General features: G+C 42.7%; 2 protein-coding genes across 6 annotated transcripts in view, besides 6 other annotated features; one reads left to right on the top strand and one right to left on the bottom strand.

The window, feature by feature from the left end:
• NLN (neurolysin) overlaps positions 1–3,974 on the bottom strand; it is a 107,079-nt gene extending 103,105 nt beyond the window's left edge. For all 3 annotated transcript variants that reach the window (NM_020726.5, XM_005248559.4, XM_047417445.1), the window contains exon 1: positions 3,765–3,974. In NM_020726.5, coding sequence (NP_065777.1) covers positions 3,765–3,805 — 41 coding nt within the window. In that variant the 5' untranslated portion in view covers positions 3,806–3,974. The remainder of the gene's footprint in view (positions 1–3,764) is intronic.
• Positions 2,562–3,383: an enhancer, noted in NCBI's record as "NANOG-H3K27ac-H3K4me1 hESC enhancer chr5:65018623-65019444 (GRCh37/hg19 assembly coordinates)". NCBI's record gives its function as "activates a minimal SCP1, AML or CMV promoter by ChIP-STARR-seq in naive and primed H9 embryonic stem cells {active_cell/tissue: H9 hESC(naive and primed)}" and the evidence as "EXISTENCE:reporter gene assay evidence [ECO:0000049][PMID:30033119]".
• Positions 2,710–2,789: an enhancer, noted in NCBI's record as "active region_22610". NCBI's record gives its function as "activates an Ori minimal core promoter by ATAC-STARR-seq in GM12878 lymphoblastoid cells {active_cell/tissue: GM12878}" and the evidence as "EXISTENCE:reporter gene assay evidence [ECO:0000049][PMID:35858748]".
• The window catches only part of SGTB (small glutamine rich tetratricopeptide repeat co-chaperone beta), a 57,086-nt gene continuing 46,364 nt past the window's right edge, over positions 3,166–13,887 (top strand). Inside the window, exons 1-3 of one of the 3 annotated variants that reach the window (XM_005248548.4) lie at positions 3,166–3,422; positions 5,350–5,471; positions 13,115–13,218. In XM_005248548.4, the coding sequence (XP_005248605.1) occupies positions 5,372–5,471; positions 13,115–13,218 (204 nt within the window). In that variant the 5' untranslated portion in view covers positions 3,166–3,422; positions 5,350–5,371. Of the gene's footprint in view, positions 3,423–4,069; positions 4,263–5,349; positions 5,472–13,114; positions 13,219–13,887 lie in introns of those variants that run through there. The other 2 variants (NM_019072.3, XM_047417334.1) reach the window with 2 other exon arrangements.
• Positions 3,660–4,269: a silencer, noted in NCBI's record as "silent region_16058". NCBI's record gives its function as "represses an Ori minimal core promoter by ATAC-STARR-seq in GM12878 lymphoblastoid cells {active_cell/tissue: GM12878}" and the evidence as "EXISTENCE:reporter gene assay evidence [ECO:0000049][PMID:35858748]".
• Positions 4,340–4,389: a silencer, noted in NCBI's record as "silent region_16057". NCBI's record gives its function as "represses an Ori minimal core promoter by ATAC-STARR-seq in GM12878 lymphoblastoid cells {active_cell/tissue: GM12878}" and the evidence as "EXISTENCE:reporter gene assay evidence [ECO:0000049][PMID:35858748]".
• Positions 4,450–4,499: a silencer, noted in NCBI's record as "silent region_16056". NCBI's record gives its function as "represses an Ori minimal core promoter by ATAC-STARR-seq in GM12878 lymphoblastoid cells {active_cell/tissue: GM12878}" and the evidence as "EXISTENCE:reporter gene assay evidence [ECO:0000049][PMID:35858748]".
• Positions 6,544–6,740: a silencer, noted in NCBI's record as "fragment chr5:65015266-65015462 (GRCh37/hg19 assembly coordinates)". NCBI's record gives its function as "represses an EF-1alpha promoter that drives an FKBP-Casp9 reporter gene in an ReSE screen in K562 erythroleukemia cells {active_cell/tissue: K562}" and the evidence as "EXISTENCE:reporter gene assay evidence [ECO:0000049][PMID:32094911]".

Here is a 13,887-nt window from a genome sequence, read left to right as displayed (position 1 = left end):
CAATTGGTTGAACTGTGAGCTGAAATAGATTTTTTTCATGGAAAACCATTTTTTTTTTTTTTTTTTTGAGACGGAGTCTCGCTCTGTCGCCCAGGCTGGAGTGCAGTGGCACAATCTCGGCGCACTGCAAACTCCACCTTCCGGGTTCACGCCATTCTCCTGCCTCAGCCTCCCGAGTAGTTGGGACTACAGGCGCCCGCCACCACGCCCGGCTAATTTTTTGTATTTTCAGTAGAGACAGGGTTTCACCGTGTTAGCCAGGATGGTCTCGATCTCCTGACTTCGTGATCCACCTGCCATGGCCTCCCAAAGTGCTGGGATTACAGGCGTGAGCCACCGTGCCCAGCCCATGGAACACCATTTTTACCAGAAAAAAACTACTGACAGACAAACCAGGGTTATTCAGACTTAAGTATGTGGCAGAAATTCTGTCAAAAATGTAACAAAGTGAGATTGTCACTTCAAGTAAAACAACTGACAGTTTGTGTTACCAATGATAAAATTCTAGCTTTCAAGTGAAAACTAGAATTTTGGAAAATCCTATCTGCCACTGTGAGCTTGACAGCTTCCCAATACTTGAAGACTTTTCCGACTAAATAGGAAGACATTAAGGAAAGTGATTGTTTGATACTGTATAATGAAATATGTCAACATTAGGAAGAACTGTATAACACAGTGAACCACTAAAATTTCCGAAGGACTTATGCTTAATGTTTTAAAAAACAGGCATGGATTCAACATCCATTCAAAGTGTAAGGTACACCATTGGATATTAATGTAACAGTGTAAAACAAGTACATTGATATAGTTTCAAATTCCACTTTGTAACTAACCTTTAAAAAGCTACGATTTGTCAAACTTTGATGTGATATCAAAGAACATCCATGATTATCTTTAAAAAGCTATTAAAATATTCTTCTTTCCAACTTCATATGACTGTGAGGTGGGATTTTCTTCATCTTAAACCAAAATGAAACAGTGCAGCAGCTTAAATGCAGAGGCAGACATAAGAATCCAGTTACCTTCTATTATGTCACACATTAGTTTTGCAAAAATGCGAAACAGTGCCACTTCTGCCGGGCGCAGTGGCTCACGCCTGTAATCCCAGCACTTTGGGAGGCCGAGACAGGCGGATCACGAGGTCAGGAGATCGAGACCATCCTGGCTAACAGGATGAAACCCCGTCTCTACTAAAAATAAAAAAAAAAAATTAGCCGGGCGTGGTTGCGGGCGCCTGTAGTCCCAGCTACTTGGGAGGCTGAGGCAGGGGAATGGCGTGAACCCGGGAGGCGGCGCTTGCAGTGAGCCGAGATAGCGCCACTGCATTCCAGCCTGGGCGACAGAGAGAGACTCTGTCTCAAAAAAAAAAAAAAAGAAAAAAAAAAGAAACAATGCCACTCCTAGGATAACTGTTATCAAAACCAGGAAATAAGTGCTGATGATGATGTGGAGAAATTGGAATCCTTAGGTACTGCCAATGGGAATGTAAAAATGGTACAGCCACTGAAGAAAACAGTATGGTTTCAAAAACTAAACATAGTACTATCCTATGACTCAGCAATTTTCACTTCTAGGTACATACAGTATCCCAAAGAATTAAAAGCAGGGATTCAAACAGACATGTGCACATTAATGATCATAGTAGTAGTATTCACAATAGCCAAAAGGTGGAAGCAACCCAAATGTCCACTGACAAATGGATAAACAAAATGTGGTATATACATACAATGAAATATTATTCAGTTTTAAAAAGGAAATCCCGACACATGCTTCAAAACGAATAAACCTTAAAAACGCTATACTAAATAAACCAGACGCAAAAGGACAAATATTGTCTAATTCCACTTATATAAGGGACCTGAAATACTCAAATTCATAGAGAAAAAATAATGGTTAACCAGGGATTGGGGGAGGAAGTAATGGGCAGTTATTGTGTAATAGGTACAGGGTTTCAGTTTGGGATGATGACAAGTTCTGGAGATGGACAGTGGTGTTGGCTGTACCTCTCAATTGTACACTTAAAAATTATCAAAATGGTAAATTTTGTTATATCTTACCACAATTTTAAAAAAAAGGGAAAAAACCCCACAATGTTAATCTTCTCACTGATTGGGGGGCGGGGGGGTTGGTTTGGAAAATAGTTATTTTTCATTAAAATCACTATTTATGCACCTAGCCTATTTATTAGTTTTGTAAATTAACAACTACTTTAATTTTTTTCCAGCTTTAATGTCTAATATGGTAAATATAGACAGATATACCACACAAACAGAAGCTCTTAGGTCCACGGTAATTTTTGAAAGGTAAAGGGGTCCTGAGAATAAAAAGTTTGAGAATTGTTCTTTTTTTTTTTTTTTTTTTTTTGAGACGGAGTCTTGCTCTGTCGCCCAGGCTAGAGTACAGTGGTGCGATCTCGGCTCACTGCAAGCTTCGCCTCCCGGGTTCATGCCATTCTCCTGCCTCAGCCTCCCGAGTAGCTGGGACTACAGGCGCCCGCCACCACGCCCGGCTAATTTTTTGTATTTTTTAGTAGAGACGGGGTTTCACCGTGTTAGCCAGGATGGTCTCGATCTCCTGACCTCGTGATCCACCCGCCTCGGCCTCCCAAAGTGCTGGGATTACAGGCATGAGCCACAGCGCCCGGCCGAGAATTGCTCTTATATGAAGATTTATTCCCTCCTCTCACCCCTGCATTATGTGAAGTCTTCATTTCTTGGTATAACTTCATTTGACAGCTATATCGATTGCAGCCTGGAGACTAGCAAAAAACGACAGGCTGAAATATGGTCACCAATCACCACATTAACTCTTTGTAATTAACCACTGTCGCCTGCCTGCTCCCTAACTCTACGGACTGAGCAACACAAAGCTCCATCCACACAGACGAGTGGCAATGTGCAAAAGGGAACTGTAGAAAGCTTAAATGCTGACATGTTACAAAGTAGTTTTGTTGATAGCTAGCAAGAAGCACACATTTTCTTTATTCTGTTGAATCTTCATTTGGATTTACAGTTCTGGGCAGATTTGGAAACGGGGATGGTGGCGGCATTGTTTCCGAAAACCAGCGCATCCGTGCAAAGAATTTAATTCCCTCACCATCTTGCTACTGGTCTGTTGCAGTGGGGTGTGGTTAGAGGGCTAGGAAGCAATCCAAAACAGCAGCTCAGGCTGCCCAAAGCCGTGTCCAAGCGATCATTTTCTCCATTTTGGGCCAAGTCAATTTGCACCGGCAAGAGGCAGAATGTTTGTTTTATGGGGAGGAGGAAAATAAAAAAGGAAGTCAGAGAGCATGGACGGAAACAAGCAACACCACCAAAGAGGTTTCATCTCGGGTGGATGTTAAACGATTGGAATGCTAATAATGGGCGCGAGGAGCAAACACAATTGTTCTGAGTCCACAGCTGCGGCACTTTTAATGACAGGTCTGTAGTTCTGCATTGGGATTGAACGTGAAATGATTTTCTTATCCAAACTATTTGCATTCATTTTGGGCCGCGTCTGTGACCAGCCTCGCTGACTGCGGCTGAGGCAGTCCCAAACAAAGAGGAATGGACGTCCTCCCGAGGGAGCGGAGGCGGGAAAGGTGGCCCCAGGTGGCCGCGCCAGGTGTCCCCCAGGGGTCCACCTTGCAAGCCGCGGGGAGGGTGCGTCCCGGGAGCGTCGGAGAGGCGCGGTCGGGAAGGGGTGGGTCCGGGCTCCAGGCACCACACGGCGAAAGACCCCGCCCTGCCCACGGCCAAGGTTAACCCGCGCGCTGGAGGTACCTGCGGAGGCTTCGCACAGCCAAAAGGCACCGGGCGATCATGGGAGCGCTGAGAGGCTGGCGGCGGCGGGCGCGTGGTCCTTCGGCGTGGGGCGGCGAGGCGGGCGGCAGCGCCTGGGCGCCCGGGAGTCTCGAGCCGGCCTAGCCGCAGAGGCCACAGTGGCTGCCTGGCCAGCGCCCTCCCACGTGCGGCAGCTCCACGCCGGCGCCTACCAGCCCCGCCCCGCGCCGTGCCCCGCCCCAGCTCGCGTGTCTGGCCCCGCCCCAGCCCTCGCGTCCGGCCCCGCCCCAGGGGCGGTGCTGGCCAGACCCTGCCGCCTGAGAGAGAGCACAGCCTGGTGGGTTCTGGGGTCTACGGCCTAGGGGCCGGGGAAGTTTGCGCCGCCGCGACCAGTGCTGCGATCCCGAGCCGGGCTCCAGCCCCGAGGACCAGGGGTCGGGCGGGCCTGCCTACGGAACCCCGCGGGCCAGCAGCAGTCGTCTCGCGTCCTCCTGCTTGGTAAGGGGCTTCTGTCTGGCAAGGGTGCGCCTCCCGCCGCTCCGGACCGGGGCCCGCACCGGCACCCGCTGCACACCGGGCAGGGCCGAGGCGAGGCCGGGTACCTGAGGGAGGACGGAAGGGAGGGGGAGCTCGATGCGCTCTGGGGAGAGGAAGGGGGAGAAGCCTATTTCCCTCTTCTCACCCCTTTTCCCCCCATTCTGTTTTTACCTTCTGCCCTGGGGCCTTATTTAGTGCTTATGACCCCGTGGCCTAGAGGCTGACATCGCCTTTAAAATAACTACACAAATAATAAACATTATAGCGGCGGGTACCACACCCTGGCTTTGAATTAGGGAACCTGGGGAGCAGATGGATGATGCGATTTGGTGGAAATCAGCCATGAATGCCGCCTGGCCCTGCGCCACTGTTTGGATGCGATAGTATTCCATGTGAATGAACATGACCGGGAGCTTCCAGCTTGTCCACGAGAGCACAGCCTCTGCAGGGAGCGCCGGTCGGCTTGTAGTATCCATCGACTTGGGCAGCGATTTCCTGACATGTCTGCTGATTAAATAGAAATGCCATTTTTATTAAGAACGACACTCACCACTTGAATAACCTTTCGCGAATGTGTTTCCTCATCAAATAACTCTCAACCTACAAAAGTGGGTAGAGTGTACATTATTAATACTTTTTTTAGATCCCATGAAAAAGAGGAAGATGCTTGGTATACATCAGCTTTTAGTCAGCAGTATGAAATGCCTCTTAACTTAGTACTGAGGCCTTTAGGGGATTTCTGTATGGTGAGATATGCAGTGACAGTCTAAGCTTATGCTGTACATGTTTTGAAGACATTTTTACTTATTCCAAGATTTAACATACTCGTATACCACTGGGTATTAATGAAAATATGTAATAAATTACCTTCACAATACTTTGTGCTCTCCTGACTCTTTACAAAGAGAAAAGATGAAAGGTCATACAGTTTTGTGTTTTGTTTTTACCTTTAATACACTTTATAACCCATATCATCTTTGTAATTTATGACTTTCCTGACTGATTCTTTAAAATAACTTAGTTCAGTGTTTTCATTTTTCTTATCAAGGAAAAGTGTTTAAGCTTCTAAAATGTCATCTATCAAGCACCTGGTTTATGCAGTTATTCGTTTCTTACGGGAACAAAGTCAGATGGACACTTACACCTCGGATGAACAAGAAAGTTTGGAAGGTATGCATCTGCTCTTTGTGTTCATTTATATTATAATTATAAACGAAGACTAAAATAGCTGTAAGCCCAACTTGATGATCTATTGTAACATAATCAGAATTTTTTTTGATCTTTCAAGAGGAGAGGCCTGACTATAAGGTTATCGTATTTCCATTTTCTGAAGCTTGTTTTGTTTGTTTTAACAACAAATTAAGAGGACTATTGTTCATTTATTGAACAAATACTATATGTCAGAAGTATGCTGTTCATATTATAGGCAATTTTTTCTTCACAGCAACTGTTATGTTAGTATTATCCCCATTTAACAAGTGAGAAAATAAAACCAGGGCCAGGCTTGGTGGCTCATGCCTGTAATCCCAGCACTTTGGGAGGCCGAGGCAGGTAGGTCATTTGAGGTCAGGAGTTCAAGACCAGGCTGGGCAACATGGCAAAACCCTGTCTCTACTAAAAATACAAAAAGTAGCCAGGTGTGGTGGCACTTGCCTGTAGTCCCAGCTACTCAGGAGGCTGAGATAGGAGGGTGGCTTAAACCCAGGAGGTGGAGGTTGCAGTGAGCTGAGATCACACCACTGCACTCCAGCCTGGGCCATGAGCGAGACCCTATCTCAAAAAAAAAAAAAAAAAAAGAAAAAGAAAATGAAACCAAATAGCGTAAGCAGATAACACAGCTGATATGTGATAAAGCTGAGATTTAAATCCTGGTTAATACTCTGAAGATCTTGTTGTCTCCATTTCCTAATAGGAAAGCATCCAGTTTAGAAATAATATATAAAAATACCTGAGTCATTTTAATAGCACTATGTAAAAGTCTAATAATTATACCACTAGTGAGATCTGACCAGTGCCTAATTTGGAACTTGAAATGGGAGCATTTCACCTGTGTTTTACGTTAACTTTAATATTGGATTCGGTAATCTGTAAAGTTGAACAGGATGTGGGTGATAGCATCATGTGTTTCCTCGACACCGTCTTTGTTCTTCATGTTTATGTGTTATAAAATTTAAATTCAGTACAACCATAACAAGGTAGAATTCTGCAGATGGGCTTGTGGAGGTTCAGTGAATCTGGTGTCCCTGTGGCCTAAAGTCTTTTATTTATTTATTTATTTTTTGAGACAGGGTCTGTCTGGCTCTGTCACCCAGGCTGGAGTGTAGTGGCACAATCTCGGCTCACTGCAACCTCCACCTCCTGGGCTCAATTGATCCTCCCACCTCGGCCTCCTGAGTAGCTGGGACTACAGGAGTACACTACCACACCCGGCTAAGTTTTGTATTTTTTTTTGTAGAGACAGAGTTTCGCCATGTTGCCCAGGCTGTTCTCAAACTCCTGGGCTCAAGTGATCCACTCGCCTTGGCCTCCCAAAGTACTGAGATTACAGGCATGAGCCACCCCTCCCAGCCCCAAAGTCTTAATTATTGCAGTGAGAGTGCATTTGGAAGAACTTAATAAATGACAGTATAGTTATAAATCCCATCTTGAAACTGCTTCTATAATTTCAACAAGCATTTCCCTGTGAATATGCTTTTAGGAGGTGGAGATGAAAATTGGGCATTTGCTCTAAACCTCCTTGCAGTCTGGTTAGTTGATGTCTTTCCAGGTGGCAGTGAGAGGAGCAGGTGATGCACAGTTGGAGAACATTGCAATCAGTCCATTTAATATTAAGGTCTTTTTGTTCTCCTTGATGATTAGACTATGTGAAAATAAAGTTGATTGGTTATCTAAGGAGAATGTTAGTTATGATTGCTCTGTAGCAAACAGATAAATGCAGTCATTTAAGAAAAGATGTTTCTTTTCTAATCAAAAGCAGCATAAAAGTTTTAAGGGCCAGAAAGAAAATTGAGGGTTTTTTTTTCAAACCAAGATGTTATGTCCTATTTTTAGGATGGTATTCAGCCAAAAATATGTGCCTTCAGCTGTTTGTTATATATGGCAGTCAGAAAGGGTGCCAATTGTTTTTGACTGACCCCTATTTTTGACTCTGTGAGTCTAATTTAATTGAACATGAAATCATGTGGAGGTGTCTGCCCACCTTCTAGACATTTTTAAAAGCCCTAGGAAAGAAGCCTCAGTTCTAATACCAGCTTTACCACTACTGTGAAGCTGGTATATCATCAGCTTTGTCTTGCCATCAGATTATGTCACCCACTCCTCTTAATTATTGTCATCTACTGACATTTGCTTCATTCCTTGACTAATTGTGGTTCCTGCTCACTGTCACTCTCTCTAGCACTACTCCTATTTAGTTCTTGGCAATTGCAATATACTGATTGATGATTATTTTAGTTCCCTGGCTCTCAGTTATTGACCTCATCCAGTGATCTCAAACACTTGATCATATTCTAGATCAGTGGTTCTCAACTTGGGGGTGATTTTGCAATATCTGGATACATTCTGATTGTCACAACTGGGTGAGGCGGGTGGCTGGTATTATTGGCATCTAGTGAGTAGGTAGAGGCCATGGATGCTGCTAATGCACAGGACAGCCCCTGACAAGAAGAAATTACCTGATCCAAAATGTCAGTATGCGGAGATTGAGAAAGCCTTCCCTAGACTTAATCATTACCAGAATTGCATTCCTTCCCTAATCTCTATCCCAAACATTTCACTTCCTGACCACTATTGCCTGTCTTTCCAAGATTACTCCCTCTAGAATCCCTACTCCAGCTATTCTTTGACCCAACCAGTACCTCCAATCTGTTCATGCCTCACCTTTCCCCACACCTCTTCTTACTCATCTTAAATTCCATGGTTGATAATTATAATTATTCCCTTGTATCTCCTTCCCTTTCTTGCAAAGCCCAACTTTGTTTAAATCCAACTCTCCACCTACTTTGTGCCCAACTACTCACACCCACTCATGTAGCCGTAAATAAATGGAGCAAAACACACAACTTTGCTGACTAGTCCCACTTTAAATTCATGACTGTGAACTTCAAGTAGACCTTTAATGCTGTCAGGCAATCACAGTATCTGTTCTAAGTTCATTCATACATTTATTTTCCTAGATGACCATTTTAACACTTTCTCATATCTTCTCAAACCCTCAAACCTCCTTCACTGTCCTCACTTTTAGTTGGTTACCTTGCTTTCTACTCCACCAAGAAAGCTGAAATAATAAGAAAATAGCTGGATATGATGGCACCCACATACTCGGCCTGCCTGCCTGTTTGACTAGCTATTACCATAGATGGACTATTCATGTTCCTTTCTAAATGGAACCCCTCTACTGGTATACTAGATCCCATCCTGTCTCACCTACTCCAGGATATCACTTTAGTTATTTTATTTTTTTAATCTTACATCATAAAATTTTCATACCCTACTGGATCATTTCCATCATCATATAAACTTACCATTATTCTCCCTTCTTCAAAAAAGCAAAAACAAACAGCAAATAATTACTGCTTAATTGTATGTCTCCCTTTGCAGCAAAACCATTTGAAAGAATGGTCTATACTTGCTTTCTCCAACTCCTCTCCTTCTATTCTTCTTAAACCCATTCTGATTAAGCCTTTGCCTCAATCTCTCAATCTATACCACTCTCATCAAGGACATTAGTGATTTCTGTGTTGTTTAATTTAATGGTCAGTTCTCAGCTTTCATCTGAGTTATTAGCTGTCATTGATAATGTTGATGGTCATTTCCTCATGAAATGACCCCCACCACCCCCAGTATATTTTATTTAGTTTCCAGGATACCTCATACTTTCTTGGCTTTCTTATCTCATTGTTTGCTTCTTTTCTGTCCCCTTTTCTGGTTCCTCTTCTTTTCCCTGACCTGGTGTACCCAGGGTCCACTGCTTGATCCTCTTCTTTTCATTATCTATACCCATTTCTTTGGTGATATCATTCGGCTTCTTAGCCTTAAATACCCCTTATTTATATGCTATTTCCCAAATTTATGCCCTCAGCCCAGACCTTTCTTCTGAAGGTCTTATATATCCAAGTACCTACTAGATATCTCCACTTGCATGTCTAATAGGCATCCCAAATTTAACATGGCCAAAACCGAACTTCTGATTCCCCCACCCAAAATCTGTTCTGTATGCAATTTCCCAATCTCTGTTTATGTCAGCGTCATCTTTTCTGTTGCTCAGGCCAGAAACTTGGGTATCATTCTGGACTCTTCTCTTTCTCAAATACCCTGTAACTAATCATTCAATAAATCCTGTTGGCTACACTTTCAAAATATGTCTAGATTTGACATCTCTTATACCACCTCTGGACTGAACTATTTCTTGACTGTTTTAGTGTGATAGCCTCTAACTGGTCTCTCTGCTTCTATTCTTGCCCCTCCATTGGCTGTTCCAAACACAGGCACCAGTGATCTTTACAAACAGAGTATGTGAGTTTCTATCATTTATCTACTCAAAACATTGTTTAAAGGATCTATATAATTTGACTTCTGTGACATATTGTTCACCTACTCCTCCCCTTTCTCATTTGGCTTCAGCCATTATTAGCTTTCTCTTTATAAATGTACCATATCCTCTTGCCTAAGGGCTTTTGCTCTGGCTGGTTCCTCTGCCTGGAATGGTCTTCACAGATAATGCTAACACCCCCGTCTCCTTTAAGTCTTTGTCAAATCTCTTTTCTCAGTAAGGCCTACCCTGAACTCTCTGTTAAACCTGCAGCTGTGGGCCGGGTGCGGTGGCTCACACCTGTAATCCCAGTACTTCGGGAGGCCGAGGCGGGCGGATCACTTGAGGTCGGGAATTTGAGACCAGCCTGGCCAACATGGTGAAACTCCCTCTCTACTAAAAATACAAAAATTAGCCAGGCGTGGTGGCACACGTCTGTAATCCCAGCTACTCAGGAGGCTGAGGCAGGAGAATAGCTTAAACTCGGGAGGCACAGGTTACAGTGAGCCAAGATTACGCCACTGCACTCCAGCCTGGGCAATAGAGCGAGACTCCGTCTCAAAAACAACAACAACAACAACAAAAACCCTGCAGCTGCTTTTCTGCTCAGCTGCCCACACTCTCCATCCTCCTTACCCTTTACTACCTGTTTATTGTTTATGGTCCACCTCTCCATCTCCTACTAGGAAGGAAATCCCAAGAGGTTAGGGATCTTTTCTGTTTTATTCACTGATATGTCAAAAGTGTCTAGAAAAGTGCTTGACACATAGTAGGTGCTTAATAAATATTTGTTGAATTGAATCCAATGGTCTCGGGCATTTCCCTTAGTTGGTTTGGATCTTAGTTTCTAAGTCTATTTGGTAGAGATACTTGCCTTCCTTGCAGCCAATATATTTGTGAAGAGAATCTGAATCAGCGAATGGCAGGTACATAGCATGTGAAAACTTTTGAATTAAGTGTTATACAGATAGGATGTGGTATTACTGAATAGAATTCTTCACTCATCTTTCTCTATCAGTACCAGACTATTTTTGTTCGGTGTTACAGTGAAACAATAAGTATATATAGTATTTGTTTAGATTTTGTGACTTATTCCTGAATGTCTATTATTTTCATTAGGAATAAATAGGAATAGATTCTTCTAAAAGGAAGATCAAATGTAATAATCTCTGTTTGATAAATGAGAATCTTGAGGTAAATGTAAGTTAAATTATTGTACCCAGGTTATTTAATTTTTTCAGCCTGGATTAATAAGGATAACGAGACAGGCCTGAGTTCCAAGGCTGTGGTTAGCTTTGTTCACTAATCCCAACTTCACTAATCCCAATCAATTTCTCAAATCCAACTTTTCTCTCTAATTCATTCTCAATGTTCCTGCCAGACTTTTAGTTCTAAACATAATTTAGTTACGTTATTCTCCCTCACTAAATTCTTTAATGGTTCTCCATTTGCTCATTCCTTGAAGTCTAAATCTTTTTAAAAATGCAATTTCAGGTGCCTTGTCATCTAATGACAGACTTCTTTTGGTTTTTGAAGACAGAGTCTCGCTCTGTCGCCCAGGCTAGAGTGCAGTGGGGTGATCTCGGCTCACTGCAACCACTGCCTCCTGGGTTCAAGCAATTCCCATGCCTCAGCCTCCCGAGTAGCTGGGATTACAGGGGCATGCAATCACATCTGGCTAATTTTTACTTTTTTAGCGGAGATGGGGTTTCACCATGTTGGCCAGGCTGGTCTTGAACTCCTGACCTCAGGTGATCTGCCTGCCTCAGCCTCCCAAAGTGCTGGGATTATAGGCGTGAGCCACCGAACCTGGCCTCCAACGACAGACTTCAAACATAATCCCTCACCATGTCTTTCCACCCACTGTATACCCTAGCCATACCAACCACTTATTTTGCCATACAATAAAAATAGACAAGGCCCCTATCAGCATTTAACATGCTTTATATTTTGCTTATTATATTTGTTGTCTTCCTTTATTAAAATATAAGCTTTATCATGTAGACAGTGATTTTTTTCTGTTAGGTTTATTACTGTTTCTCTACCACCTTAGACCAGTGCCTTACAGATAGTAGGCACTTGGCAAATTTGCATAGATGAATGAATTTTTAAAATCTATCTTCACATAAGTACACCAAGATTAATATTTAGTGCTTCTTCCTATGTGCTGGGGGCTATGTTCTGTTACTATTAATGTTTTTAATTAATGGAGAATTCTGTTTCTCACATTTTTTAAAAAAATAATATTTTAGGTTTGTAGTGAGAGTACTTTTTTTGTTTTGTTTTTGTTTTTGTTTTTTCGAGATGGGGTCTCAACCCGTACTGGAGTGCAGTAGTGAGATCTTGGCTCACTGCAACCTCCTCCTCCCAGGCTCAAGCTATCCTCCTCCTCCCAGGCTCAAGCAATCCTCCCACCTCAGCCTCCTGAGTAGCTGGGACCATAGGTGTGCGCCACCACGCCTGGCCAATTTTTTGTATTTTTGGTAAAGATGGGGTTTCGCCATGTTACCCAGGCTGGCCTTGAACTCCTGAGTTCAGGCAATCCACTCTCCTTGGCCTCCCAAACTGCTGGGATTACAGGCGTAACCCACCACACTTGGCTGAGTAAGTTGTTATTAATGACTTGCTCTTTCTGGTAGCCTTCAACAAGAATATGATGTAATACATATATTGAGAAATTATATTCTAGACAACATTTTTCCTTAAGTGAGGAATAAGAAATCCAGTTGTTGCTAGGTGTGGTGGCTCATGCCTATAATCCCAGCACTTTGGGAGGCCGAGGTAGGAGGATCACTTGAGCCCAGGAGTTTGAGACCAGCCTGGGCAACCTGGCAAGACCCTGTCTCTGCAAAAAAATTTAAACAGTTAGCATGTGGCTCATGCCTATAGTCTCAATTACTAAGGGAGCTGAGGCAGGGGGATCCCTTGAGCCCAGGAAGTCAAGGCAACAGTGAGCTATAATTGTGCCACTGCACTCCAGCCTGGCCACAAAGTGAAACCTTGTCTCTAAAAAAAAATTGGGAAGAAAGAAAGAAAGGGAGGGAAGGGGAAGGAGAAGGGAAAGGGAGAGTGTGAGGGGGAGGAAGGAAGAAGGAAAATCAGTGTGTTTTCCTTGGATAGCTAGTCTATAAACAGAAATTTCTTTGCAGCTGAACCAATGTTTTCCTTATGTTCTGTGATCATAAATACTGAATTTCCATACATTGCAGTTCTATCAGAAAAAAAAAACTTGTTTCTTTTTTAAAATTGCTAATTGTTTTTTACTATTAAAATTTATTTCAAGTTGCAATTCAGTGCTTGGAGACAGTTTTTAAGATCAGCCCAGAAGATACACACCTAGCAGTTTCACAGCCTTTGACAGAAATGTTTACCAGTTCCTTCTGTAAGGTATGTTGTCATTATTTTCTCATTATTAACTGATATGACTACAATTTTATGTTAATAGATTGTTAATAGCTGAGGGGCCAGGTATATGAGTAATTAACTTCATCCTGTATATAAGGTAAATAGTCTGTCTATATGGATATAATTGGGTATCTAAAATATAACTCATTTAATGTGCTTTAGATTTTCATATTGATAACTATTTTCATCCTCTCACCTTTTATATTTAATGGTATGTATTAGTCGACTTTTAAGTTCTTTACAGTATCTGAGTATTTTTTTTCTTGAATGTCATTTCAATGAATCTGAGTATTTTTTGGTTTCCAGCATCTGAATTGATGTTTCCCTAAAACGTGGAATACAGGTTTAAAAAGTTTTAATGTCTAGGAAGCAGCCATGCAGAAATGGATTCCTCTGGAATTGAATCGTCATTTCTGAAGCAGAATTCATCAAATTTGCCCATTGATGGGGCTCCTTAAAACAGGGAAGGGTTAAGGGTCACTGTGCAAAACTAAGACTGAAATCCAAGTTTTCTGATCCCTGCTCCTGGGGACTATTTATACATGGTCTTGGGTTTCTGGCCTTTTCAGGAAACAGACCATAAGACTGTCTGAAAAATGCTAAGTTTAGGGAGTTTAGGGCTCCCACATGTGGGTGAACTCCCACTTGTTT

The sequence above is a fragment of the Homo sapiens genome, chromosome 5, assembly GCF_000001405.40.
Source record: "Homo sapiens chromosome 5, GRCh38.p14 Primary Assembly".
NCBI classification, from domain to species: Eukaryota; Metazoa; Chordata; class Mammalia; order Primates; family Hominidae; genus Homo; species Homo sapiens.
This window is presented reverse-complemented; position numbering and strand designations above follow the sequence as displayed.